At 46.7% G+C, this 24,384-nt stretch overlaps 2 long non-coding RNA genes, 1 pseudogene, 10 gene segments (V, D, J or C) and 1 further gene, besides 35 other annotated features; 2 read left to right on the top strand and 12 right to left on the bottom strand.

Annotated features, from left to right (window-relative positions):
- On the bottom strand, positions 236–3,475 carry LOC105375541 (uncharacterized). Its single transcript, XR_001745392.2, has 2 exons — positions 1,547–3,475; positions 236–916 (listed from the first exon to the last, which is right to left on the bottom strand). It is a non-coding gene; the product is annotated as an uncharacterized LOC105375541 (long non-coding RNA).
- Positions 4,385–5,086, top strand: TRBV30 (T cell receptor beta variable 30). The segment is given in 2 exon segments: positions 4,385–4,427; positions 4,795–5,086. Coding segments are annotated over 2 exon segments (335 nt in total), but the record flags the coding sequence as incomplete, so codon positions are not given.
- Positions 4,385–24,384, bottom strand: part of TRB (T cell receptor beta locus) — a 514,277-nt gene continuing 494,277 nt past the window's right edge.
- Positions 5,087–5,093: a recombination feature (RSS_heptamer).
- Positions 5,094–5,116: a recombination feature (RSS_spacer).
- Positions 5,117–5,125: a recombination feature (RSS_nonamer).
- Positions 8,071–8,962: a transcriptional cis regulatory region, noted in NCBI's record as "candidate enhancer chr7.5163 targeted for multiplex CRISPR interference". NCBI's record gives its function as "positively regulates EPHB6 gene expression with high confidence in K562 cells {active_cell/tissue: K562}" and the evidence as "EXISTENCE:mutant phenotype evidence [ECO:0000015][PMID:30612741]".
- Positions 8,071–9,283: a biological region, named in NCBI's record as "P300/CBP strongly-dependent group 1 enhancer GRCh37_chr7:142506073-142507272". NCBI's record gives its function as "regulatory_interactions: EPHB6".
- Positions 8,084–9,283: an enhancer, noted in NCBI's record as "P300/CBP strongly-dependent group 1 enhancer chr7:142506073-142507272 (GRCh37/hg19 assembly coordinates)". NCBI's record gives its function as "activates an origin of replication core promoter dependent on BRD2, BRD4, P300/CBP, MED14 and CDK7 cofactors, with strong dependence on P300/CBP, by STARR-seq in HCT116 cells {active_cell/tissue: HCT116}" and the evidence as "EXISTENCE:reporter gene assay evidence [ECO:0000049][PMID:35650434]".
- Positions 12,568–12,969: a transcriptional cis regulatory region, noted in NCBI's record as "candidate enhancer chr7.5162 targeted for multiplex CRISPR interference". NCBI's record gives its function as "positively regulates EPHB6 gene expression with high confidence in K562 cells {active_cell/tissue: K562}" and the evidence as "EXISTENCE:mutant phenotype evidence [ECO:0000015][PMID:30612741]".
- On the bottom strand, positions 15,143–16,631 carry TRBC2 (T cell receptor beta constant 2). The segment is given in 4 exon segments: positions 15,143–15,169; positions 15,459–15,567; positions 15,711–15,728; positions 16,245–16,631. Coding segments are annotated over 4 exon segments (541 nt in total), but the record flags the coding sequence as incomplete, so codon positions are not given.
- Positions 20,170–20,216, bottom strand: TRBJ2-7 (T cell receptor beta joining 2-7). The segment is given in 1 exon segment: positions 20,170–20,216. A coding segment is annotated over 1 exon segment (47 nt), but the record flags the coding sequence as incomplete, so codon positions are not given.
- Positions 20,217–20,223: a recombination feature (J_heptamer).
- Positions 20,224–20,235: a recombination feature (J_spacer).
- Positions 20,236–20,244: a recombination feature (J_nonamer).
- TRBJ2-6 (T cell receptor beta joining 2-6) lies at positions 20,381–20,433 on the bottom strand. The segment is given in 1 exon segment: positions 20,381–20,433. A coding segment is annotated over 1 exon segment (53 nt), but the record flags the coding sequence as incomplete, so codon positions are not given.
- Positions 20,434–20,440: a recombination feature (J_heptamer).
- Positions 20,441–20,452: a recombination feature (J_spacer).
- Positions 20,453–20,461: a recombination feature (J_nonamer).
- TRBJ2-5 (T cell receptor beta joining 2-5) lies at positions 20,506–20,553 on the bottom strand. The segment is given in 1 exon segment: positions 20,506–20,553. A coding segment is annotated over 1 exon segment (48 nt), but the record flags the coding sequence as incomplete, so codon positions are not given.
- Positions 20,554–20,560: a recombination feature (RSS_heptamer).
- Positions 20,561–20,572: a recombination feature (RSS_spacer).
- Positions 20,573–20,581: a recombination feature (RSS_nonamer).
- TRBJ2-4 (T cell receptor beta joining 2-4) lies at positions 20,625–20,674 on the bottom strand. The segment is given in 1 exon segment: positions 20,625–20,674. A coding segment is annotated over 1 exon segment (50 nt), but the record flags the coding sequence as incomplete, so codon positions are not given.
- Positions 20,675–20,681: a recombination feature (J_heptamer).
- Positions 20,682–20,695: a recombination feature (J_spacer).
- Positions 20,696–20,702: a recombination feature (J_nonamer).
- On the bottom strand, positions 20,777–20,825 carry TRBJ2-3 (T cell receptor beta joining 2-3). The segment is given in 1 exon segment: positions 20,777–20,825. A coding segment is annotated over 1 exon segment (49 nt), but the record flags the coding sequence as incomplete, so codon positions are not given.
- Positions 20,826–20,832: a recombination feature (J_heptamer).
- Positions 20,833–20,844: a recombination feature (J_spacer).
- Positions 20,845–20,853: a recombination feature (J_nonamer).
- On the bottom strand, positions 20,930–20,975 carry TRBJ2-2P (T cell receptor beta joining 2-2P (non-functional); annotated as a pseudogene). Its single transcript is given in 1 exon segment — positions 20,930–20,975. A coding segment is annotated over 1 exon segment (46 nt).
- Positions 20,976–20,982: a recombination feature (J_heptamer).
- On the top strand, positions 20,981–21,690 carry LOC124901762 (uncharacterized). Its single transcript, XR_007060565.1, has 2 exons — positions 20,981–21,064; positions 21,422–21,690. It is a non-coding gene; the product is annotated as an uncharacterized LOC124901762 (long non-coding RNA).
- On the bottom strand, positions 21,062–21,112 carry TRBJ2-2 (T cell receptor beta joining 2-2). The segment is given in 1 exon segment: positions 21,062–21,112. A coding segment is annotated over 1 exon segment (51 nt), but the record flags the coding sequence as incomplete, so codon positions are not given.
- Positions 21,113–21,119: a recombination feature (J_heptamer).
- Positions 21,120–21,131: a recombination feature (J_spacer).
- Positions 21,132–21,140: a recombination feature (J_nonamer).
- Positions 21,258–21,307, bottom strand: TRBJ2-1 (T cell receptor beta joining 2-1). The segment is given in 1 exon segment: positions 21,258–21,307. A coding segment is annotated over 1 exon segment (50 nt), but the record flags the coding sequence as incomplete, so codon positions are not given.
- Positions 21,308–21,314: a recombination feature (J_heptamer).
- Positions 21,315–21,326: a recombination feature (J_spacer).
- Positions 21,327–21,335: a recombination feature (J_nonamer).
- Positions 21,913–21,921: a recombination feature (3'D_nonamer).
- Positions 21,922–21,944: a recombination feature (3'D_spacer).
- Positions 21,945–21,951: a recombination feature (3'D_heptamer).
- TRBD2 (T cell receptor beta diversity 2) lies at positions 21,952–21,967 on the bottom strand. The segment is given in 1 exon segment: positions 21,952–21,967. A coding segment is annotated over 1 exon segment (16 nt), but the record flags the coding sequence as incomplete, so codon positions are not given.
- Positions 21,968–21,974: a recombination feature (5'D_heptamer).
- Positions 21,975–21,986: a recombination feature (5'D_spacer).
- Positions 21,987–21,995: a recombination feature (5'D_nonamer).

The raw sequence follows: 24,384 nt of genomic DNA, 5'->3' as shown, positions 1-24,384 counted from the left end.
GAAGACAGCCGTGGGAAGACAGAAACACACAGGGAAAATGCCATGTAATGCCAAAGGCAGAGTTTAAAGTTATGTAGCTGCAAGTTAAGGAATGTCAAAATTTGCCAGCAAATCAACAGAAGCTAGGAATAGGCAAGGAAGAATTTCCTTCCAGGTTTCAGAGGAAGCATAGCTCTGTTGATACCTTGATTTTAGACTTCTAGGCTCCAGAACCATGAGACAATAAATTCTGTTGTTTTAAGTCACCCAGTTTGTGGTACTTTATTACAGCAGCTCAAGGAGAATTACAAAGTGGATGGATTGAGTACAAGTTCCTTCATCGTAAGTGGAAGCAGAAGTTCCTAACTCTTTTAGTATTTGTCATCTGAACTACTTTTCTATCTTTTACCTCCTCCAATAGATAAGTTATTAGAAGGCAAATATTGCTTCTTGATTTTTTGTTTTCCGTCTATCTAAGCTTGAATTTTATGTGCACGTAAGGTAGATGTGAAATTCATGGGCATCAAATATGGGTGGGTAAAATATAATTTTGTTTTCTATAATTAAAATTATTCTATATCTAGATCCTTGTTGCATTGGGGTACACATGATTAATTCAGGGGTTTCTCAGACAATTCATGCTTGTCTCCCTTTCCTTTTCTCCCCGGGTAGTGTCTAAATTCCAGGGTGCTTATAAAAGCGCTTGTCAAAGCATTGTGGGGAAGGTACTTGGTCTTTGGTCATCATTTAACTTTCCTTCATGACTCTCATTTGCACCATCATCAGCACCTGTCCCCACTGATATCTGCTGATCCTCGGTGTGTCTGTCTGTCTGTCCTTCAGGTTGTTTTGATCCACGGCGGGTACACTGTGCCTTACACATTTCAAACACGATGTCTCTTCAGGCTTGATGGCTTCTCTCAGTTAATCTGTTTCCCTGTGAATGAGAAAATGGCTATTCCTGATCTATCCTGAGATCTTTGGGGATTCTTGGAGACTACCTCAGGTCCCTCTGTTAAGACACATTCTAGAGCCATGTATGTTTTCCACTGCTGCTCTAATAAATTACTACAGACTTAGTGGCTTAAAACAACACAAACTTATTATCTTACAGTTCTGTAACTCTGAAGTCTGACACAGGTTTCACCGAGTTAAAATCAAGCTGTCAGCTAGGCTGCATTCTTCCCTGAGGGCTCTAGAAGAGAACCCATTTCCTTACCTTTCCTAGCTTCTAGAGGCCACCTTCATTCCTTAGCTCATGCCCCCTTCTACCTCCAGGGCCAGCAGCATGGCATCTCTCTTGCCTGCTTCCATGTCCACATCTCTTTCTTTGACTCTCTTCTGCTTCCTTCTTCCATGTTGAAGATGCTTGTGATTGTATGGGGCACACCTGATTAATTCTGACTACTCTCCCTGTTCTAAGGGCATCCAATTAGAAACCTTAATTCCATCTTCAACCTTAATTCCCCTTTGCCATGTAATCTAACACATGCACAGATTCTGGGGATTAGAATGTGGACATCCTTGGGAGCCATTATTCTGCTGACCACAAGTCATTTCTACTTACCAGTCTCTAGCCAGTATGACATGTAGGGACCCAGGACCTTGTTCGTCTCATTCTGGAAATAAGCACAATTTTCCTCTGCCGTCAAAACTTTTGAATTTCCATTTCTTCTCTCTCCACCTCTCTCTCATCCCTTTCCTTGATCAGGATGTGGATAAGAAGAGGTAAGTCACAATTCAGGGCATTCAGGAGCATCTAATTGGCTGACTCTCCCTTCTTTCCATTAGCCCAGGTAATTTTTAACTCTTCTGTAGAGGAACAAATAGGCTTTGCAAGTATCTTCCATTCCTATTATATAGGAATATATACCAGTTTTAAAATTAAAAAGACGAGTTAGTTCTTATTGCCATTCTCTTCATGTATAAAGCTTTCTCTTGTTGGCAGCAATTCATTAAGAATCTAGTATGGAGGGAAAAAGCTGAAGATGGTAACAAAAAGACTTGAAAAGAGGCTTGCCAGAGAGGTGGACACGTTAAGATGACCAGGACATGTTAAGATGACAGTTCCAGCCAGCTTTCAATTCCGTAGGGCACCTCCAGACCCAGGCCAGATGTGCGGCCAGGACTCTCCCATTAGTAGATCTACTGCCACAGAGCAGAGGGATCATATCCCCATCCTCTTTTCAATACATGAATGACTTAAATGATTGAATAACTAAACAGTATTGCAGATGGGGATGGAGATTGAGGAGATTTTTTTAAAGGCATCAGCCATATGGAAGGAGCTTCCAGCTACTGAGCTGTGACAATGATCAGGAGCCAGGAGCCAGCTGGTTACTCTGATCTGACTGATACATCTCTTCACCCTCCAATCTGCTGCAGCATCTCTAAGAAGGAGGATTACATTGCTGTCTACATGTGGTAATGACACTGAGCTGATGCAGCTGATGAGTGAAGTCAGGTCTCATAGGATACGCTGGTGTTAAAGACTGCCAGCCAGAGGAAAACGTGATGCGGTACCCTTGAGAACAAGAGCAATTCTCATTCTTTCTCCCTGTATCTCCCACCACCCACTGTCCACTTTCTCTCCACCCCATCCCCACTCAGGACTAAATAAAAATTTCAAAAGCAAAGAGGAAAGAGAACAGAAATGGAAAGAAAGGGAGGAATAGGCTATGTGTGCACATATTTATTTTGGCTTCACTCTCTGCAATCCTAACATGCACAGATATTATATTATCAGATTTATTAAAAACTGAGATTGAACAACTGTTCAATGAAAACTGCTCTTGCGTTGGCTATAGCTATTTTTCATCATATGTTCCAAATGTTCACTGCAAGCAAACTATATTTACCACTTGATTTATCATTTAAATAAATGTTATAAGAGGATTAATTCCATTTTGAAATGATAAAAAACAAAACATTCCCCTATACATATGGTGTATTCAAATGCAAACAAAAAAATGTGCTACAGCCAAAACTGTCAGAAGCAAGAACCCCAACATTAACTTGGAATTGTGTTACTGTAGCATCAGCAACAACAACAAACATATGACATCACTAGGCCCTGATGAAATGGGAAAGTGTTACAAATGCTTTATTTGCTTAAAGCTTATTCTCCCTGTTCAGCCACTTTTACGGCTTTCTTTCCTGGGTTTTCATCTCAAACCGCTCCACCACATCCAACCCAAACTAAGTAATTGTTCTGAATATGAATCCTTCAGAATACAGAGCATGGCAAAGACAGAGGGAAGAGGAGTTTCCAAGGGTGTGCTGGTGTCCTCCAGGCATCTGAAGGTCTTTTGTCCCATTTCAGCAGAATGACATTTTAGCAGCTACCTAGCAGAGTCCCATGCTTAGCTATTATGAATCCTTACTATTATGAATTCGTGGCTTGACTGTGTTTTTTGTGGCTCGTGATCCCTTCAGCCCCTACCTTCCACCCCATGCCATTGTAAATCTCCCAATCTTTGCTGCAGACATAGGGAGTCAAAAAAAAAAAAAAAAAAAAAAAAAAAAAAAAGCCAACATATGTAAGAGTGCCTGCCTGCAGTGCACCAGGCAAAATGCATCTTTCAACAATTTTTAGATATTGTCATCATTATTTTCACTTTATAGATAAGAAAATTGAGAATCAGGGTTTGCTTGAGAGTTCCCAAGCCAGCAAGAAGCAGAGCTGTGAAATGAACCCAAATCCATATGATTCCAAGTCTCTGTGATGTTTCCTATTACTCATATTGCATTTAGAGGATAAATTAGATCTAGTTGGCCCATTAGAGACACATGGAGCAGATTCCAACTTTGATCAGTTCAGGAGTTAATTATGCCTGTCCAGGTCTCAAAATCTGTCTGCCAGGGATGAAGATTATGCAGGCGATCCCTTTGGCTGTCATAGAAGCTTCCTGCCCTCAGAACTGAGCATTTCTGCTTTGATTACCCCAAAATACCTGAATCTCTTGAGCCCTATCCTTTCATCTCCCAGGTAACATGTCTAGCTCTAGTTTCCAATTTCAGATAAACTAAAATCTTTTTTCATCCTTCTATCAGTATCACAGTTTCTCTGAAGCTTTCCCAGGCTTCTGATGTCTCCCGGGGGAGCTGGAGAGTTACCTTTAGTTTACAGGTAAATAATGAGTCATTAAATATATTTACATACCAGGATGTCAGCAGGAATGCAAAGAAGATAACAAGTGCAGAGTATAGCTGGTTCCCAGGGAGGCTGGGGGTGATTCACCACACTCTTAAAAGAAGACTAGCCTCATTTCCTCCCCAGCTCATGGGGTAGGATTCCTCTGCTCTGGCAGCAGATCTCCCAGAGGGAGCAGCCTGACCACATCACTGGCCCAGAAGAGGAGGCGTCTGTCCCCCAGACTAGCTGAAGGAAAGGCTGGCTTGGATGATGCTCTGCTCTCTCCTTGCCCTTCTCCTGGGCACTTTCTTTGGTGGGTGCCCTCCTCTCTGGCAAGCCTCTTTTCTCATCCTCACCCTCACCCCAATCCCGTGAATGCAGAGTCTGAGCTGTTGGTTTGACACTCTTGAGTCTATTCCTGATTGTCTGGAACAGATATGGGAATTTAGCCTTAGGGGCTGATCTGATGATTCTTAGTTCTCTCTATCTCCTGAGAAGGAGTTCGTTCTGTTGGTCTTCCCTGGCCCAGGGATGCTTTGCATCCTTGGCTCCCCCAGTCTACTCCCCATGATGGATTCCAGGTGCCTGTGTCATGCAAGAGCTTGAGCTGCCCCTCTGTCTGGGGAAGGCAAGCCAGGCTGGGGTGCTCCTCTGTAAATGGCACTTTATCTTTCCCACAGGGGTCAGATCTCAGACTATTCATCAATGGCCAGCGACCCTGGTGCAGCCTGTGGGCAGCCCGCTCTCTCTGGAGTGCACTGTGGAGGGAACATCAAACCCCAACCTATACTGGTACCGACAGGCTGCAGGCAGGGGCCTCCAGCTGCTCTTCTACTCCGTTGGTATTGGCCAGATCAGCTCTGAGGTGCCCCAGAATCTCTCAGCCTCCAGACCCCAGGACCGGCAGTTCATCCTGAGTTCTAAGAAGCTCCTTCTCAGTGACTCTGGCTTCTATCTCTGTGCCTGGAGTGTCACACTGAGCTGGGTGGGGCAGACATCTGTGCAAAAACCCCACCCTCTCCTGAGCCCTAACCATACTCCCCAGGGGCCTTCACTTAGGGACTGGGTGGAGGATATTTGTAAGTAGGTTTCTGACTGCTGGCCAATGTGAAAGCAATGGAATAAAGCGAGAATTCTACAAAAGACTCTACTAAGTTCTCAGGGAGAACAAAAAATTGTATGTGTGCAGAACCTGTGATTTGCCTGCACATAGTCAAGTTCTCAATGTATGGATGTCCCGGCCCAGGCTACCATACTCCAGCCCTCAAGGTGTGCTATACCTTGCCTGATTTTCTAGTCTTCCAAATTCTTCTATGTGTGCCGTGGGGAGGGGGTTTGTGCATATATGGCTGAGAGAAAGGATATACCTGTGGCAGGAGGTGAGCTGGTGAACAAACGGGAGGATGCCAACCCAGGTTACTTAATTGGTTAATTTCATCACCTGGAGAGTCTCCTGTCATTGATCTTTCTGCTGAGACTAGAAATTATGGGGAGGCTTAGACCTGAGGCTTTGAGTCAGGCAAAGAGGCAAGATGTTCAGGAGACTGTTCTCATTCGAGGCAGAAGTGTGGTTTTGTTAGTATAGGTAACATGCACTTAGGCCAGACGTGGTAGCTCATGCCTGTAATCCCAGCACTTTGGGAGGCTGAGGCAGGAGGATCACCTGAGGTCAGGAGTTTGAGACCAGCCTGGCCAATATGGTGAAACCTGTCTCTACTAAAAGTACAAAAATTAACCGGGCGTGGTGGCAGGCGTCTGTAATACTAGCTACTTGGGAGGCTGAGGCAAGAGAATCACTTGAACCTGGGAGGTGGAGGTTGCAGTGAGCCAAGATCATGCCACTGCACTCTAGCCTGGGTGACAGAGCGAGACTCTGTCTCAAAAAAAAAAAAAATAAAAATAAGCTTGCACTTAGAAATTTTGGTGATGTTTGAGGTTTTAAAAAATGTCCTGTTGTACTATCTTGTAGCCCTTCCTTTGTAGCAAAGACAGACAGATGGTGATCCAAGAGATACGCAAGAAGAGGACCGTGTGTGTAATGGTTGAGCTCTAAAAAAGAGAAATCACTTGGATGGAAATGAAGGAGAGGAAAAGGCTGATGTGGATGGCTGGGAAGAGGTTCGATGGTTACCTTGGCAACTGAGCTTCCTTCCTCATCCCCATCCCTCCCTAGTCCTTGTTCTTAAAAAGATTTTCTTTCTAATGTCCCTTCCCCTCCACAAGGGGGCACAAGATGTCTTAAAATACTCCATTCCGGGCATCATTTAACCTAGATCAATCCAGACACGTGCATATTTCTAGTATCATTTAATCTGAAGTGGAAAATCTGAGATGTAGACACAGAGTGATCAAGAACATATGGAATAATGCCCAGGGGTCCCTACTGAACTTTAAGGATCACCTATGTATTAAGCAGCTATTATTTGCTGGACACAGTGAGTCATTTTGAGGATTAAAAAGAAAAATAAAATGTACTCGAGATGGTGTTGGGCACAGTCATAGCATGATTTAGTCAAAGCACTTGATTTTTGTAGTCTAAAAATTTGCTAGTTGTTATGAACTTGACCTAGTTATTTAATTTTACTAAGTTTCAAGTTTTTCCCCACCTATAAAACTTGCCTCATTGAATTGTTATGTGTATTAAATGAGATGGTGTTTATAAAGCCCTATTACAAGCTCTAATTTTCAACAGGTATTATTTTCCGCTCCTTAAGCTTACAAGATTATTTTCATTACAACTTACCCAAGAGGAAGACTTAGTTAAAAAATTTCAAATCATAAACTACAAGTATGTAATAAATATTAATATTTAAAATGCTAAACATGCTTGGATGGCAAAACCATGAAACTTGAACCCTATGCTGTGCCTATTCAGATGCTGATTCTGTAGGGGCTTTATACAGCTTCAGAATCCTCATTAATAGAGAAATGTCTCAGGCAATCACCACTAGTCAAGTAGAATTAGTAGAGACTTGAGGCAGATTTTTCCTTCCTGTAATATACTGCAAAAATTCTGGAAAACTTCACAAAGGACATAAAATTGTAGCTAAGTTTAGCTCTTTAGGAGGCTAATAGTTATATAAGCAAAATGACATTGCAAGCAGGAGAGTCAGTTTGTGTAGAAATGTGCAGGTCTATGTGAATATTGTAAGTTTTAGAGAATCTGAAGAAAAAAAGTCCTGATCATTGCACAGAGCATCCTAGAGACAGGTGAGCATTGAAGGAGAGGCTTGAAAGCCACCTAAATTCAGCAGAACAAATTAACATCCTCCATGTTATCTGCTCTTATTCATGCAAGACTGTTCATTCCCATAACTGTTTCCATACCATCTAGGACTCAGAAATCCACAGTCATTATAATTCCAGGGGACAAAGGAAAGCAGTTTAGGATGACCGATCCTGTTCAGACATGCTGTCTCTTGCCAATAATTCATCAAACTCACTTGCCCCTTTAATCAGATGAGGCTGTCTCTTTTCTAGGAGAGCTTCCAGGATTTGCATCTGATTTTGCAGATGTGCAGGATGACTATTTCCATATATCTCCTTCCCTGGCCAGTTGCACATGGAAGATTCAGGGCCACATGCTGGTGGCCAGAGGCACTCTCCCCAAGATGCTTCTCATAGATCTCAGCCACCCATGGGACTTATAAGGAGATACCCTTGTGCCTCTAAATAGATCTCAGCCACCCATGGGACTTATAGGGAGTCACCCTGGGGCCTCTGGACAGCTTGAGTAAGATGAAGAATGCCCGGGGTTGGGAAGCTGGTAATACTAAAATTAGGCGACTTCTTATTTTTGCCCAGGATTCAGTGGTTTGGGATAAGAATGCTACAATCCCTTGAGCTCCTGCAGAGCAGGCTTGACCTATTATATACCTGGTAATTTCCCACTACTTACTTTGGGGGTTTCTGCCTCTCTAGTTTTTCATTCTGTCTTGCATTATGTTCTTCTAAGATGTGTTAGAAAATATTCATCACACAGACCTTACAGGCTTTAGCAACTACAGGAAAAAACTACGAGGAGCCAGTCAATGCAGTGCACAAACACTGGCTCAGACATCCAGGGACTGTCCGTTTTGCAGTCTGTTGGTTATCTAGGGCTACCTCTCCTGTGACTCATCAGCACCTCTCATTACATGAGTGGAAGGAAGTGGGAGGATACATGTGGAGGGAGGTGGAAGGGAGTTTGGGGGGCAGGTGGGAAGAGAGAGTTGCCTGAGTGATGTGGGACCAGAAGGGATCCCAACTGGGTCAGAGCAGTTATTGCAGCTGTTTTTCATTCTCCACTATCTTCATGGTGCCCACTGTGGCCTTTGATCTTGTGCATAACCTCCAGCAGGTGTAAAGATGTGTTGGGGGAGGGGAGGCCTGCACATGGATCTGGGATACCTAGATTCCCCTCTAGAGACCCTGCCCCTCCCCTCTGAAGTTCTATTTCTACTGCCAGGATGCTAACCAGGGGCCCAGGTAGAAAGAGCAGCATAGGAGGGGGTTGGGTGCCGGATGCGGTGAGTGTGGTTCTCATGATGCTCTGAAGGTGGGTGGGTGGAGGGAGCAACTTTCACAGGCACCCCAGATGCAGGACCCAGTAAATGTCAAACCACATCCTGTTGTGACTGTAAGAGATGGAGCTAGGGCAGGTGGCTGCTGTGGCTTGGTGCTGATGTGACTCAGAGATAAACAGCCCGGCAGCCAGCACTGGGCTCAGAACCCCCATTCCTACCCCAGTTGTCAGCTATTACCTAAAAGACCCCGATTTACATCTCATTACTTCCCACCTTTTGATTCAGGGCCACTCTCCTTTTTAACACAATTTTCTTGTCATTCATGGCCCTAGACCTTTTTGATGGAGGAGGGCCAGGGAACAGGTGTCAGGGCTCCAGTTGACTCTTGCTAACTGTGGGACTCCAGTGCCAGTGCTGTCCTCTTCCACCATCAGACTGTCTGAGACTATGTCACAGATATGTATGATTTGAGGCCAGGAAGAGCTTAGCTTCTCTGAGTTCCCATTCTCTTGGTACTTCAGAGACTGCAGGCTTTGAATCAGAGAATCTGAAGAGCAGAGTTTGAAGATTCTTAGAGATCACTTTACCCAATGTCCTCATATCACAGAGGAGGACATATAAGCCCAGAGAATAAAAATGAGTTGTTCAGAGCCATGCAGCTGGGGCCAGAGGAGGACCAGAAGCTAATTCTCTGTGTTTTAGCAGCTCCTGGACTTCAGACAAGGCTTGGGGAATGTGGGGTCTCTGTTGAGCTGTGATCTTGCTATGAATTTCATGAATCACTCTTATAGTAATGAATCAGGCAAGATGATCATATCTGAGATGGCATGAGGATAGAAGGATAAATATAATGAATCACAAAATTAGAATCCTGCAGAATCTTAATAGGTTGGAGAGATAAGCTGAATAAACATGATAAACATTCTCTCTCTCCCTCCTCCCCCACCAAACAGAGAAAACCATCTATATGAACACAGGAAGGGGAATATGTGAAAGAAGGATATGTGAAAAAACACCCAGGGGGTGAGTCAAAGTGAGCTCTGTGAGTCAACGGGATGGTGAGCGTACAAAAAGTAGATAAATTGTCCTAATGGAACCAACTAACGTATAAGATGTTGAGAAAGAGGAGGCAAAGTTCCCCCTTTACTCTTTGTAGGTCAGAACCCACCTGGTGCTGGGTCAGGTCCTGTACAACACATTTTTTAAAAGATAGAGGGATAAAAACAAACTTTAATGTTTTCAGAAGGGAGTGATTGGGCTATGGAAAGTAGGACGTGCTCAAAACTGTGCCCTATAATAACAAAATTGAGAAAACTGAAAATGTTTTGCCTGAAAAAAATCTTCAGGTTGGTAGTAGTTATAATAACACCTAATACTTACTGATATTGTTCTAAAAGCTTTACATGTTGTGTGGGTTAAATGAGATAAAACGATCTTATGAAGTTGGGCTTGTAATTGAGCTCATTTTACAGCAAGGAAAACTGAGTCTCAGAGGTGATCACTTGCCCAGGGTCACATAGTTGATAAATGACAGAACTAAGGCTTAAACCCAGGTCTCTGCATTACAACATCTTCTTTGCTACGATAATGTTTTCATCCATCCACTACATGCTTTTTTTCCATTCCAAAAACTCAAGTTTTAAAGTTTCTAATGATTCTGTCTCGCATAGATTTATGGGTTCTTGCCAGAATATGGGCACTCTGTTGCATGTAGACACCTGAGAGGGCTTTTGGGGGGACTATAGGGTCCCAGAGATAAGTGAATAGCAACTGTAGGTTGGCAAAAAGGAGCTGAGAATTAGCTTTACATGTTGTGTGGATTAAATGCTCATATTCACAGAGGGCAGTTGAGATCAGTTGCAGAGCAAGCTGATAAAAATCCTTTGGAAATAGTCACAGGTGTAGGCTCATTTTCAGATCCTTTTTGCTGACCTACAGAAGCCATTCACTCATTTTTGGGGCCCCATATTCCCCAAGAAGCCCTCTCAGGAGTCCACCAGCAGCAGAGATAAAGACTATGGATAGAGATGGGAGAGAAAGGCATGTAGTTGAGTCTATAGGAGAGGGGGATGGCGAATAGAAAATATCATGTCTGTTGGAGGGAGATGATTCATAAGTTCTGCCACAATAAAAAAAATAAAAGGACAGGCAGAGATGTAGGGATGTTAAGGAACCCAGGAACTTCAAATTCACAAACACAGACAGCAAGAAAAGGAAGGCTTCCAGATAGGAGGAAAGAACATTCAACCCTAGAATAAGGCAGGGAATATGTTGTGTTTGAGTCTAGGTGGGTTGGGTAGTCTTAGGTTATGGGGTCCCAAGCCTCAGAAATCAGCTTTTTGGGAGCCATGGGAGTTTGCCACAAGCAATGGAAATGAACTGTGATTAAAACTGTTGGCCATGCTTCATGCCATTCTATACTATGAGTCTTCTTATATAGCATAGGGGAGTTTCTAGGACATGGTAAAAGTGAACCTGGTGATGAGTCTGAGATGTCAGTAGAGAAGCAGAAAATGGATTCACTCATGGGTCCATGGCAAAGCTGAGTTCACCTCTGGGTTTTAGCCATTCCCGTGATCTCCACCAGCATCTCCCAACACCCCTAAATGAAAATATGGCTAGACATCTTTGCTCAGTGTTACCTGAGGAAGAAGCAAAAACTCATTTTTGTTTTCACTATGCAGCTTCAACAGAGGTCTCAAAGCACCAATATTCCATTCCCACATTCATTTATAACCAGAGAAACCTCACAAAGATTCTCCTATATAGGACATTTGGGGCTGTGTGTCACACAGACTGTTAGGGGCTGATATCAGTCTATCTCCACCCCTCCTTTCTGGGCCACTACAGAAGAAAAATGAGGAAATGGCTCAGGGACGGAAATGGAGACTTTAATATCTATTAGGATCCATTGCCCTTATCTCAAACTCTTATTATGAAATCACTCCCTTGAGAGAGAAAAAGCCTTTTTCTCTTGGATTGTCCCAGCAGCTCCCGACCATCCCCACTCCCCAACCTTATGTGGCCCAGCAATGAGCCTAGTAGTAGGAAAATCTCTATGGATACTGGTGCTGATGGGAAGATTCTTCCTCTCAGGAAGTGATGGTGACTGGGGCTCTGGGATGCTCACGGGAATCCCATTTCCCCCACAAAGAAGTTATTTTATTACACAACCATTTGGATGACCCCCTTTTTCTTCCAATTTCCCAAATAAATCTGTAAAGGTCACAGGTGAAGTTCTTCTCTTTAAGAGCTACTCCATGCTAAGTTCAGCGAGAACTTGGGGTACCCTAGACATTCTTCCAGAGATGCTTTTCTTGTAACTCTTTTCAATAAGTAAGCATGCTTTGCTCTGCACTGGGTGTCACCTGTGTTGGATGCTGTTGTCCCTGCCTTGCCCTATATTCTGTCCACATGGTTTCTTCATAGGATGATGCTTAGGTCAGCCCTGAGGTTTGAACCAGTCAACAAGTCCAGGTTGGTGTGGAGTCCCTTTAGTACCTCCCTTTGCAGGAATAATGCTGCACCCAGAAACTCCCTCAGAGCCTCTCCACTGGAGGGGCCTTGTGACCATTCCTGGTTTACTCCTCTTGTTCCAGCATCCCATGTGGCCAATGGGCCCCTTTCATTTTCAATGGTATCTCAATTCTTACAGTAAGTTATATTATTGCCCTACATCGAACTCATCTTTTCTCAGTGTTACCTGAGGAAGAATGGAGAGGATGCCCAGAATTGGCCCAGAAGAATCCACTTCGATTCTAGAGAAAAAGGCAGGTAGAGGCAGAAGAGATTCACTTCCCAGTGCATGCGTGCTGAATGTTGGGGGTGTTGTTTGAGAGAGACAAGGAAATGGCTGTAAAAACTTGGGAAGAGGAACCTGCCCTGGGTCAAGTAGGGTGTTGGGAGGACCAGATGGAGCTTGAAGCTCTCTCCATCTCTGTCAAGTCCCCTGGACTGAGAGGGTAAAATTCACATGGCCTTTTATCCTCCAGAGGAGAATTCATTCACCTGGGTCTGATTGCAAACTCTAGGGTACTAACAAGAAACTCCTCCCACATCCTCCCACCTGCTAATGCCTCCGTTTTCCACGTCCCCAAGATGATGGCCATCAAACTAACAGACACTATCTTTCTTCTACAAGGTGTTTCCCCCTTCCCACCTCCACTCTAATCTTGCACTACAGCTGCTCAGCCCCTCACAGCTCTGCCCACACAAACCACTATCCTCCAATATCCCCAGTCCTAGCCTGCGCCCTCTGGCCCCCACAGTTCTGCTCTCTCTGAAGTGCTTCCTTGTTCCCTCGGCTGCTCATCCTCCTGTCCTACCTTTGCGAGGAGCCACAAGGATATGCCTGCTGCCTCCACGCAGGTCTAAGGAGTGGGAAGCATGAATGTTGGTCTAGGGCCTAAAGCCTGTCCCCTTTGTTTTAGGCTTTTTTTTAGCCAATATAAAAACAAACCAGCACATATGTAACAACAATAGCCAACAAAATACTATACTGCATTTTGAGCAGTCTAGAGATAGTTACGACTGATGGAAATGACCGGCATGTGATGAGTTTCCTGGGCCCCATCCCTGCTGTGAGCACATCCTTTCCTGGTCTTTGCAAGCTGCCACCAGAGAACCCTCTTCTCCAGTTCCAAGATCCCCAGTGTAGTGGGAAGAAGAGTGTTCCCCCAGAATTCATGCCCACTCAGAAACTCAGAATGTGACCTTATTTGGAAATAGGGACTTGGCAGGTATAATTTGTTAAGATCTCTCAATAAAATTGTTCTGGATTTAGGGTGGGCCCTAAATCCTAAGACCATGCCTTGAAAAGAGAAAGGAGAGGGGAGCTTAAATGCAGAGACACAGGGAAAATGCCATGTGAAGACAGAGGCAGAGATTGCTGCGATGCTGGCACAAGCCAAGGAGTGCCAGAAGCCATCAGACATGGGAAGAAGCAGGAAAGGATTCTCCCCTAGAGCTGTCATACAGGATGACCCGCTGACATCTTGGTGTTGTATCTTTAGCCTCCAGAACTGTGAGAGAATAAGTTTTTATTGTTTTAAACCCACCAGTGGTACTTTGTTACGGCAGCCGTGGGAAACAAAGACACCAAGGCATTAAGGTGTCTTCAGTGTGTTACCATGGGCCCTGCCTGGAGTTTGGGAGAAGCTGCTCTAGGATCACCCAGATACCAGGAGCAATCCCACCATCCTGGTAACTACTTGGAAAAAGTTTCCAGAATTGCCATCTTCAGCAGAACATGCCACGGTTTCACAACTCATAAGTAATTTGAACTGTAATCTTCAGTTTCCACATCTATAACATGGGGAAAATAATACCTGTTCCTGGGATCATTGTGCAGATGCAGACAGCACAGGTAGCAGCGTCCAGCCTGAGGCCTGAAGCAAGCAGGCTCTCAACAAAGGGCTCCCTCCTCTTTCCCAACCTTTCTCTGCTTTCAGACTTCTCTTCTCTCCCCTGACAGTCTTCCTCAACTAACTTCGACATGGCCTCTCTCAGCCCCTCTCACTGTTCTAGGCCTCCTTTTCTTTAATCCCATTCCTCCTCTTCCTCCATGTAGTGTTTTACCACAATGCATTCAGCCTGTATGCAGAATTTACCTTGACAGGATAACTGTCTTTGCCCAAGTAGGAGCAGTTAACACCTTGTGTTTGGAGTGGTTTGGTTTCCATCCATCAAACGAAGAAGCCCATTGGAAGGGCTACTCTGAACATAGCACTTCAGCCCCCACTGGGCCCTATATCCCATTGCTCCTGACTTAGTGTGTCTCGCTCCTGAGAAATCACTCTTCCCCAGGCTTTACATATCAGTTGTCTCAACTCTGCCTTCTCTAGTATTTCAAACTAGACATGCAGAGTAGCACTCAATTTTAAGCCCAAATCCTGAAACAAGAGAAGCTGGAGGTGTTAAGACTACAAACTAATAAAACTAAAGGTAAAACAGGTGACAGTTTAATCTGGAATTGGGAAATGACCAGACATTGTAACCCATAGGTCTGCCCGCATCCTCTGTCCTGCACTGGGTAAGGGCTTATGGTTTGCTGTGTGCCTTCCTCTCTGTCCTCATCTTGCTGGTTTTCCAAAGCCCAGCCATTGCCCTTCAGACTAACCCTCCAGTGGGGACCCAGAATGCCTGGGTATGGAAATGGTGTTTGAGGACTTCCATCAGGATGAACAGGAGAAAGCAGCATTGGGTGGAGAGAAAGAGGGCTGTCACTTCAGATGTCCAAGGGAATGCTGCTTTCCCTAAATCAGAAGATAGGTCAGTGATGAGCAGAACTCCACAGACACTCCTGAAATGCAACCAGGCCCAACACACAATTTTTTATTGGTTTAGCCTATTTCGTACTTGGGGGTTGGGAGCTCAATCTTCAGGGAAACAGAAAAAAGAGAGAAGTATTCATGTAAGTAGGAGATGAGAAGCAGAGTGAGAATCACTTTTAGGAACACAGATTGGGAGCAGGTACAGGAGAATCCTGGGTGAGGATGAAGAATGACCTGGGATGGTTTTGGAGCTAGCCTCTGGAATCCTTTCTCTTGACCTGTGGAAGAGAGAACATTTTCAGGGTTTCAGGGGCTATGGCACAGCAGGAGTAGGGCAGGGGAGGCGGGCTCTGAGGCCTAATTTGAGTAGGGCTCGCTGGTTGTCTCCATCCTCCCATGATGCATTCTGTGATATTCCCTGCATTTTCTCCCCAGTCTGGCTTCATTATGGTTTCATTGAGGTGATAGGATATATTAGGCTGTGCTCTGGCTCTGAGATTCCTTTATGCCCATGTGTGATGTTCCATCCCCTGCCCCCATCATCTGCCCTATCCCACCCTCCTCCTTACCATGGCCATCAGCACGAGGGCACTGACCAGCACGGCATACAAGGTGGCCTTCCCTAGCAAGATCTCATAGAGGATGGTGGCAGACAGGACCCCTTGCTGGTAAGACTCTGTTGACAAGAACAGAGCATGTAGGTACCTGTGCACAGGTGGCTCTGGCCTCCCTCACACCCCTGTGTCCGTGGATTCTCCATGCCCTGGTTCGAGAGCAGAGACGGCGAAAGATAGAGAGAAAAAGGAGAGACTCACTTACCGGAGGTGAAGCCACAGTCTGAAAGAAAACAGGGGAAGAAAAATGGATGAGAGAATGCTGCTTTGTAAGGACATTGAGCCTTACATCACAGACTCACAGGCCACAAACACATGCATATCAGATAGTACAAAGTCAGCCTCCTTTGATAGCCCTGGTTCTGTCTCCCTCATGCTGCTCCAGTGCCAGCGAAGTGGTCACTATGATCTTAGGAAACCAGGACCCCAGAAGAGAATGGGATGCACACCACTCAGATGCTGAGCTGTATGGCTGGTCCTCAGGGAGACTTGAAAGCTTAGCTCTAAGGTGTCAGGATCTGAAGGAAGAATGAGCTTGAGGTGCTCCATTCAGCCTCTATGCTTCTTGGTGGGGGAAGTGCACACCGTGCTTTGCTGACCCTGTGAACCTTGATCATCCCACCTTGTCCACTCTGGCTTTCTTCTGGATCTAGTCTTGTCCGCTACCTGGATCTTTCCATTTTCCCTGGTAGCTGGTCTCACCTAATCTCCTCCAGGCATCTCCCCAGGCCCCACTCACCTGCTCTACCCCAGGCCTCGGCGCTGACGATCTGGGTGACAGGTTTGGCCCTATCCTGGGTCCACTCGTCATTCTCCGAGAGCCCGTAGAACTGGACTTGACAGCGGAAGTGGTTGCGGGGGTTCTGCCAGAAGGTGGCCGAGACCCTCAGGCGGCTGCTCAGGCAGTATCTGGAGTCATTGAGGGCGGGCTGCTCCTTGAGGGGCTGCGGGTCTGTGCTGACCCCACTGTGCACCTCCTTCCCATTCACCCACCAGCTCAGCTCCACGTGGTCGGGGTAGAAGCCTGTGGCCAGGCACACCAGTGTGGCCTTTTGGGTGTGGGAGATCTCTGCTTCTGATGGCTCAAACACAGCGACCTTGGGTGGGAACACGTTTTTCAGGTCCTCTGGAAAGGGAAGAGGTAATGGGGCTAGGGTTGCTCTAAGAGCTGTCTGGTCCTGGTAGGGGCTCTGTGTATGTGTGAGAGAGAAGGCCGGGAAAGGACCATAATGAAGCACAATTATGTTACTAGGTCCTCCTTGCTTTGGGGTCACCAGCCTATTCCTCTTTGATGGTTCTACCCCTTCCTTGCCTGTCTTTTGTATCCACCCTATGGGTTGGCACTGCCCATTGTCTGTCCATCCCCCAGTTAGGCACTGCCTAACATTCCAGGTGATGTCTCCTCATTGCCATTATTTGATTTCCTCTCTATCAATAAAAACTTGCCTACCTACTTCTCACCATTTTATGTGGTAGTTTTTTAACTGGAGCAAGGGATTGGAACCCAAAAAAACAAGATCCAAATCCTAGAACTTCCTTTGTCCACCAACAAGACTTTTAAGACAGAAATTCCTATCACTTTTTTCTGCATGTGAGGTAATAATCACCATTCTGACTTTGCAGAAACTGTGTGAAGGTTAAATTATGTACGAATTCAAAAAGCCCCCTCCCAAGCAGGTTATTTATACCAAATCTAAGGTGCTCAGGAATGAAGGGGAATCTGGGATGAGGGAGACATTTTAGATCTGGGGGCTTTCTTTGGATTTACAGATGGCCTATTTTTTGCATTCACATGAGGACATCCTTTGGTTTTACAGTGCGTTCATGAGAATGTGAGGTTTTTTCTTTTTGTGGTGCATGAAGTCATCTTATCCATTCCTCTGCCTCCAGGTACCCCTGAGTTTTCTCAGCTCAGACAGTTAGTCATCTTCCCTTATTTCAAAATTAGGGACTCTTCAACCTTCTGTGTCCCTTTGCATCCAAATATTATATGTAGCTTTCTCTACTAGCAAGTTTCCCAAATAAACATCTGATATCATCAGAGTAACTTCTTGCTACTAGTTGTGTTGATACAGTTTCTGTCCTGAGCATCTCCTTTGTAGATTCTTAGGGATGACAGGTAAATTCATCCCCTTTAATCCCTGAGGACCCCTTTCATTTTGCTGAATCACTTCTTTTGGACCTGCCCTCCTACTCATCTTATCTTTTTTTTTTTTCTTTTTCTTCCCATTGATTGTTTTTCATTTCTGAGCAACTCTATTAAAATGAAGAAATATCAGTCTTAGGAGAACCTATTCCGAATCTCCTGGACAATGGAGGAAATTTACTCTGACATTTCTTTACATTTGTATGGATGTGACCTCCTTCCTAGGTCCCCATGGGGCCTCCTGCTAGAAGGGCCCCCTGCTTGGTTTAGTGCTCTGCTGTCACCATGTTGAAATCCTAAGATTTAACACGAGCCCCGGCATTTTCATTCTGAGCTGGTCCTGAAGATTTTGTAGCTGGTCCTGCTTCCCATCATGTCAGTTTCCTTTCCTCCCCACAACTCCTACCTGCTAATTACTACTATGCTTCTAAACATTTACTGGCTGGGCTGGGGCCGAAGTGGTAATATCCTAACTTCTATCTGCAGAACTTTCTTTCTTTCTGCTCTCAGCCTGCTTATTTTCACTCTCATCTCAAAAACCCTGGCTCTGGGAGTCTACCAGCCCTCCAGAATGTACTCCTTTGATTTCTTCATTTAGCAAACACTCAGTCCTCATTGTAAATATTAAAAATATTCCTTGACCATGTATGCTGTTCTGTGGAATAGTTATTGATGCAACAGGCGTGGCGAACACTAGCCGCCTCTCACTACACACCAGCATACTATCTGTACATGAGGGCAGGGTCAACTCTTCTTCTGCATTTGTGAGTCCGTGTGGTGTGGGGCTTGTCTCTGTGGGTGTAAGTGTGTGTACTAGTGAGCTTCTGGAGTAAGTGTGTGTACTAGTGAGCTTCTGGTGTAAGTGTATACTAGTGAGCTTCTGGTGTAAGTGTGTGTACTAGCAAGCTGACGGTGTGTGTGTTCTAATGAGCTTCTGGTGTGAGTGTGTACCAGTGAGCGTCTGGTGTAAGTGTGTGTACTAGTGAGCTGCTGGTGTAAGTATGTGTACTAGTGAGCTGCTGTTGGCCTGTGCTCTACTTGTGGGTTGGATTCACCTTAGGCAAAATTGTGATGTTTGTCTCACATCTTCCCAACCCACCTCTGACACAGACACAGCCTTACTCCATTTCCACACTTCAGATCCTGCCCATCCTTTGGCACTGGGCTGACCCTGCCCCCTGTCTCCCCAGTGACCTCCTAGGAGGATGGGGAAAAGAACCATTGAATTACATCAATAATCTGTACACGGTACATGTTGACTCTCTTTTCTTCCTCACAGCAATAGTAAGTGGTAGGTATTGTTCATTACATTTTATAGTTGAGGAAACTGAGGTTCACACATTAATTTGCCCAAGGTCACCACATCACAAAAGAACCAGAGGTTCGAACTCAGCCTTTATCTGGTTCTAAAGTCTGGGTCTTTTCGGTGCCCCAGCTGACTGCAGGAACCCCACATTTCCTCTGGATACGCTTCTCTGTAGCTGAGCCCCATTACACCCAGATTAATGACAGCCTAACTACAAATGGTACCGGTTAATATACCAATATTGTGAGTTCTCTTCTCTGGCCTCAGGGCAGTTGTCACCAGGTAATGTTTAGGGTCCCTTTTCAGCTCTCAGGGCCTAAATCTTCCAGAGAATTTTCCTCATCTCACAGGCAAATTGTCTGCATTTTAATGTGTGTTTGTGGCGAATGAACTCCCTGAACATCTGGGCTGTTTAACCTAGAATACTTAGTGTGCTAAGGGAGATTTCAGGATAGGGGAGGGAGCTACACGGGGGCGGGGGTGGTAAGTGTACCCCAGTGGCTGAGGTTATGTGCCCTACTCTCAGGTCAGCACCTCTTTGTTGACCAGCCCGTGGGTAAGCATGAATGCCGTGCCCTCACCCTGGACCCAGGGATCTCTGGCTTAGGAGGAATAGGAATCGGGAACAAGGAGTTTTAAGTCGGATTAGAGATCCACACTGCTAAACAGTAAACTTTCATTCTTTTCTTCACTGACTCATGTTCATCTCCCTTTTTGGCTTCTCTGTTCCACTTTTGTTTGGCAGGCTTTTTCTTCTGTGTTCTACTGCACCCTCGGCTGCAGGATTTCTGCCCCCTAACACCCACCCGCCTGCCCGCAGTGCTGACCCTTGCCCACCCGCGCTGTTCCCAGCCTGCTCAGCTCTTTTTGCCTACGAATAGCAGTTACCCCCACTCCTACCCATTCCCCAAACCAGGATTTCCCTTCGTCCTCTCCAGTCTCGCCTCTCCCAGAGTCCTAACAAATCCTCTCCTCCATCGTTCACCTTCTCTCTAAACACCCCAGAAAAAAGATTAAAAGTGGCCTCGCCCTCTGCTCAGCTTTCCGGACTCTGAGCACCTCCCCACCCCCTCCCTCTTCCCCAGTCTTTCCCCAGGAGCGGGGAGGTGACCTTGCAGAGCTGACCCCGGACACCCAGCTCCTCCAGCTCCGGTCCACCCTCCGACTCCGGGGACCGAGGGGCTGGAAGGTGGGGAGACGCCCGAATCTCACCTGTGACCGTGAGCCTGGTGCCCGGCCCGAAGTACTGCTCGTAGGAGCACGGAGGTGCACCCCCGCATGCAAACCTCTAAGGCTCCCCGAGCTCCTGCCCACCCTGGGGACCCAGCCCAGGTCTCCCAGCACAGGGCCGGACCGGGTGCCGCGAAGCAGCCGCCGCCTTCCACCTGAATCCCGCCGCCCGGGTGGTCCCGCGAAAACTCACCCAGCACGGTCAGCCTGCTGCCGGCCCCGAAAGTCAGGACGTTGGCCCCAGAGCACAGCCCGGGGACTCCCCGCAAAAACCAGACCCAAGCCGCCCGCGCCCGCGCCCCAGCAGCCCGCGCTCACCGAGCACCAGGAGCCGCGTGCCTGGCCCGAAGTACTGGGTCTCTTGGTCACGGCCCCCGAGCCCCGCACAAAAACCCGAGCGCAGTCTCGTCCCCGGTCCCCCGGCGGCCCCAGCTTACCCAGCACTGAGAGCCGGGTCCCGGCGCCGAAGTACTGAATGTTTTTGGCTCACAGCCCCGAGACGCGGCACAGAAACTGGCCCTGCGACGCCCCCGGCGTCCCGGGGCGCCCCCTCCCCAGTTCCGGGGCTTCAGCGGGAGCCCCCGCTTACCGAGCACTGTCAGCCGGGTGCCTGGGCCAAAATACTGCGTATCTGTGCTCACAGCCTGGAGGCCCAGGACAAAAACCGGTGCTGCCCGCTCTGCTGTCCCAGACTCAGCTCGGGTCCTTCCCACCGCTGAGAGCCCCATCGCTCTCCCAGCACCCAGAACCAGGAGTCCTCCGCCCAGACGCCCAGCAGCGCCTCTCAGCACAGCCCCTCTCAGAGTGGGGCAGCTGCTTACCTCTGCCCATCCCGCCCTCTCGGAGCTCTCCGGAGCCCCAACCGCCTCCTTACCCAGTACGGTCAGCCTAGAGCCTTCTCCAAAAAACAGCTCCCCGGTGTTCGCACAGCCCTGGGGACCCTGGCGCAAACCCCGCTTCCCTCGAGGAGGGCCCTGGATTGCCCAGTGTCCACTCCCCTAAGAACAGGGTTCTGGGGTCGTGCAGGCTGGGCTGCTCACCCTCTCTCCCACCTGGAGCCCCCTTCTTACCTAGCACGGTGAGCCGTGTCCCTGGCCCGAAGAACTGCTCATTGTAGGAGCACAGTGGGAAGGGGCTGCCCAGAATTCCTTCTCCTTCCCCACCTCCCTTAGCACAGACAGAGGGCACACCCTTCCTCTCTTTCCTGAGCCTATCTTTTCCTGTCTCGAGTTAGCTGGACACGGTAACCTGGATCTTGCATGAGGCCACCACCAATTTGCAGAGGAGAATCCACTTGGCTGGGGGACAACACAGTGGATTTGAAATCTGAAGGGGCATTGGTGGTACTGGAACGGCTGGAGCTGGGCGATATTGCAGGCTAGACCTTGCCGTTTCCTAGTTATATGACCTGTAACCTCTGATCTCAGTTTCCTCATTGGAAAGATGGGACAATATCTTTCCCTCAGGGTTTTCATCAGTTCTTAATAAATAATGCATGTGCAAGTACTTTGTCAAGAACAAGTTTTATTAAAAGTGCTGAGTGATAATCCCACTTTGCTGTCTTGGCCTTCTTATTCCTTGGAAGCCGAGTCTGGACAGGGAGATGGACAGGTGCTCGCTGGGTTGGGGGACCCTGCAAGACCACAGCTGGGACCAGCCCCAGAGAACTCTTCCCACCTGGTAGCTGCATTCCCTGAGCTGGGTGGGGATGCTTACTGCATCAGGGTTTTTTGTAAAAGCACCTCCTCTACCTGAATCATCGTGCCCTCCCGCTAGTCCCCACAATGTTACACCATGATACAAAAATGTTTCCTCCCTGCTAGTCCCCCTCCCCCAACCACTGGGCAGCGGCAGGAAGCGCAGGTGGCAGAGGTTAGTCTGACTGTGTGGGGCTTGGAAAAGACAAAGGCAGTGAATTAAAATGGGAAGGGCTTGGGGAAAGTCACAGTGATGGTAATGGTGGGGGGCAGAGAGGTCCCTCCTTGGAACATGCATCACCCTGAGCAGACCATCTATGTCACTGGGTCTCCCTGGTGGGGCTCACTGTGCCCACCTGCTCAGACTGGCATTTATAGTGAAGTGGGTGGGAGGAGCGAGGGGTGGCAGGCAGCTCATAGGAAAATCCACAGAGCAGTTGATGGCACCTTATGACAGGAGGACAAACAATCCAGAAACCTCTATAATTTCCCTTTGTTCAGTTGCTTCCTGAACGATGTCTGAACTCCATATTCTTCATTTACTCCACAGGTGTTTAGTGAACATCCACCATGTGCAGGCTCCATGCTGGTTGCATGGAGGTAAGTTTATTCCCAGAGTGGCATGCACCAACCTGCCTTTCCAGCGCTAATTTTGAGCACTCCCATTTCTGAACCTTGCAACCAGCTAAACGGGCCTACCCAGAGGTACCTAGCCATGTCATTAGGGCTTTTGTTCATGCCTCTGACCAGCATGGCCATTCTCTAGAGTGAACAACTGAGACCAATTCTTCCTTTGAAGAGATTGCCACCTTCTCAGACTCTTTACTGATTATCCCAGTGAGAAATTGAGGGCCACTCTCTGACTGCATTTTAGTAAGCAGTTCATGTTGCTCTTTCAAAGCATGGACTTGCGTTTGGCTCTTTCTGTTCATGATTGAGTTGCTCTGTGAACAGATACGCTTCTTGGGGACTGTAATTTGGGTATCTTAATTTTCTTGGAAGTTGATAACAACACATCACAGGGATATGTGTTTAATGAGTGGATGTGTGTACATGTGTGTAAATATAAACATATACACGCGTGTGCATACATGCACACACGCATCTTTGAATGCATGTATGTGTTGCAATAAAGAGGGAAGACTGTGTGGTGTAGTCCTATAAATGGAAGGGTAATGGCTATTTCAGGCAGGACTTACGGTGATGATTGCTCCTGGATTGGGTCAGTTTGGGTTCACTCATTTATTCATTTATTTATTCATACATACCTATGTGGTGTCTACACTAAACTGAGGTTACTATACTATAGCCCTGGGATACTATCTTAAAATGTATCCTTGTTAACAAGGAGTTCATAGTCCCTGGGGGTGTCAGACAAATAAAGAGGTAGTTTCCAGCAAGTGTGATGTATCACAAAGAAGGTTATGCACAAGGCACTGTGATAGCAAAATAAAGGTGTATTTAATCCAGCCTCAAGGGAGGAAGAGGTAAGGAAGAGGCAAGAAAGGGCCAGAGAAAGCTTTTTGGAGGGGAAGACATTGGAGCTAAATCTTTAAGTCTAAGCAGGAGTTATCATGGGGAGAAGAGTACTTTGTCACCCCAGGAGGAAGAGCATGTGCAAAGCGGCCTGAAAGAAGCAGCTCAGGGGCTTCAGGGATGAGAGAAGTGAGGAGAGTGTGGAAGGAGACAAGGATAATCATCCGGTCTTCTGTGCCACCTTTGGGATTTGGGACTCCATCACCATGGTGACAGTGAGACAACAGAAGGAGCTTTTGAAGGAATTCTAGAAGTAGGAATGGGGCTGATTCTCAGTTTTAGATACCTTTATTTTCTAACCTTCCAGGAATGATTAGGGGACATTTTCATTCTGGTTTAATTCACTAGAGAGAGATTTATAAACAGATGGGTAACTTAAACCGGAAGACACATCTTCCATTGAAAATAAGTTTGCAAGTCAGAGCCTCTCTTCTTTGGAGCTGGGAAATCAACTTGGTGAACCAATGAAGATGAATGGAGTGCTCAATAAGAAAGCTGCAAGGAAGGTGGGTGATGCTTATGGAATCCAGCTTTGTTAGTCACGGGGACATGGCCAGCTGGAGGGTGAACACACCTGTATAGGTTGGCTCTTCCTCTGAGCACGTCTTTCCTGGGCAGAACAGTATAGTTGGATATAGAAAATTCCTATACTCAACATCTGTGTCTTCCTAGACTGTTCTAGAAGTAACCTCTTCAGCTCCCATCACTGCCTTTCACGCTGAATTAACCTCTGCTATTGATCTCAAGGTGGGCCCCTCATCCCTCTTACGTGAAGAGTCTGCATTTTCCTTGAATACCTCTTGTTTCTATCCTGACTGAATGGGGAGAGTCACAGGGAGTTCAGAGACAGCCAAGGAGCTATCCAGACATTCACAAGTCAGAGTCAGGCCAGACCAGAACATTTTTATTGGTTTAGTCACTTAGGCATGCTAAGGTCCCCCTGGGTTAGGGAGATTTCAGCCGT

This window comes from Homo sapiens, chromosome 7 (genome assembly GCF_000001405.40).
Source record: "Homo sapiens chromosome 7, GRCh38.p14 Primary Assembly".
Classification (NCBI taxonomy): Eukaryota; Metazoa; Chordata; class Mammalia; order Primates; family Hominidae; genus Homo; species Homo sapiens.
This window is presented reverse-complemented; position numbering and strand designations above follow the sequence as displayed.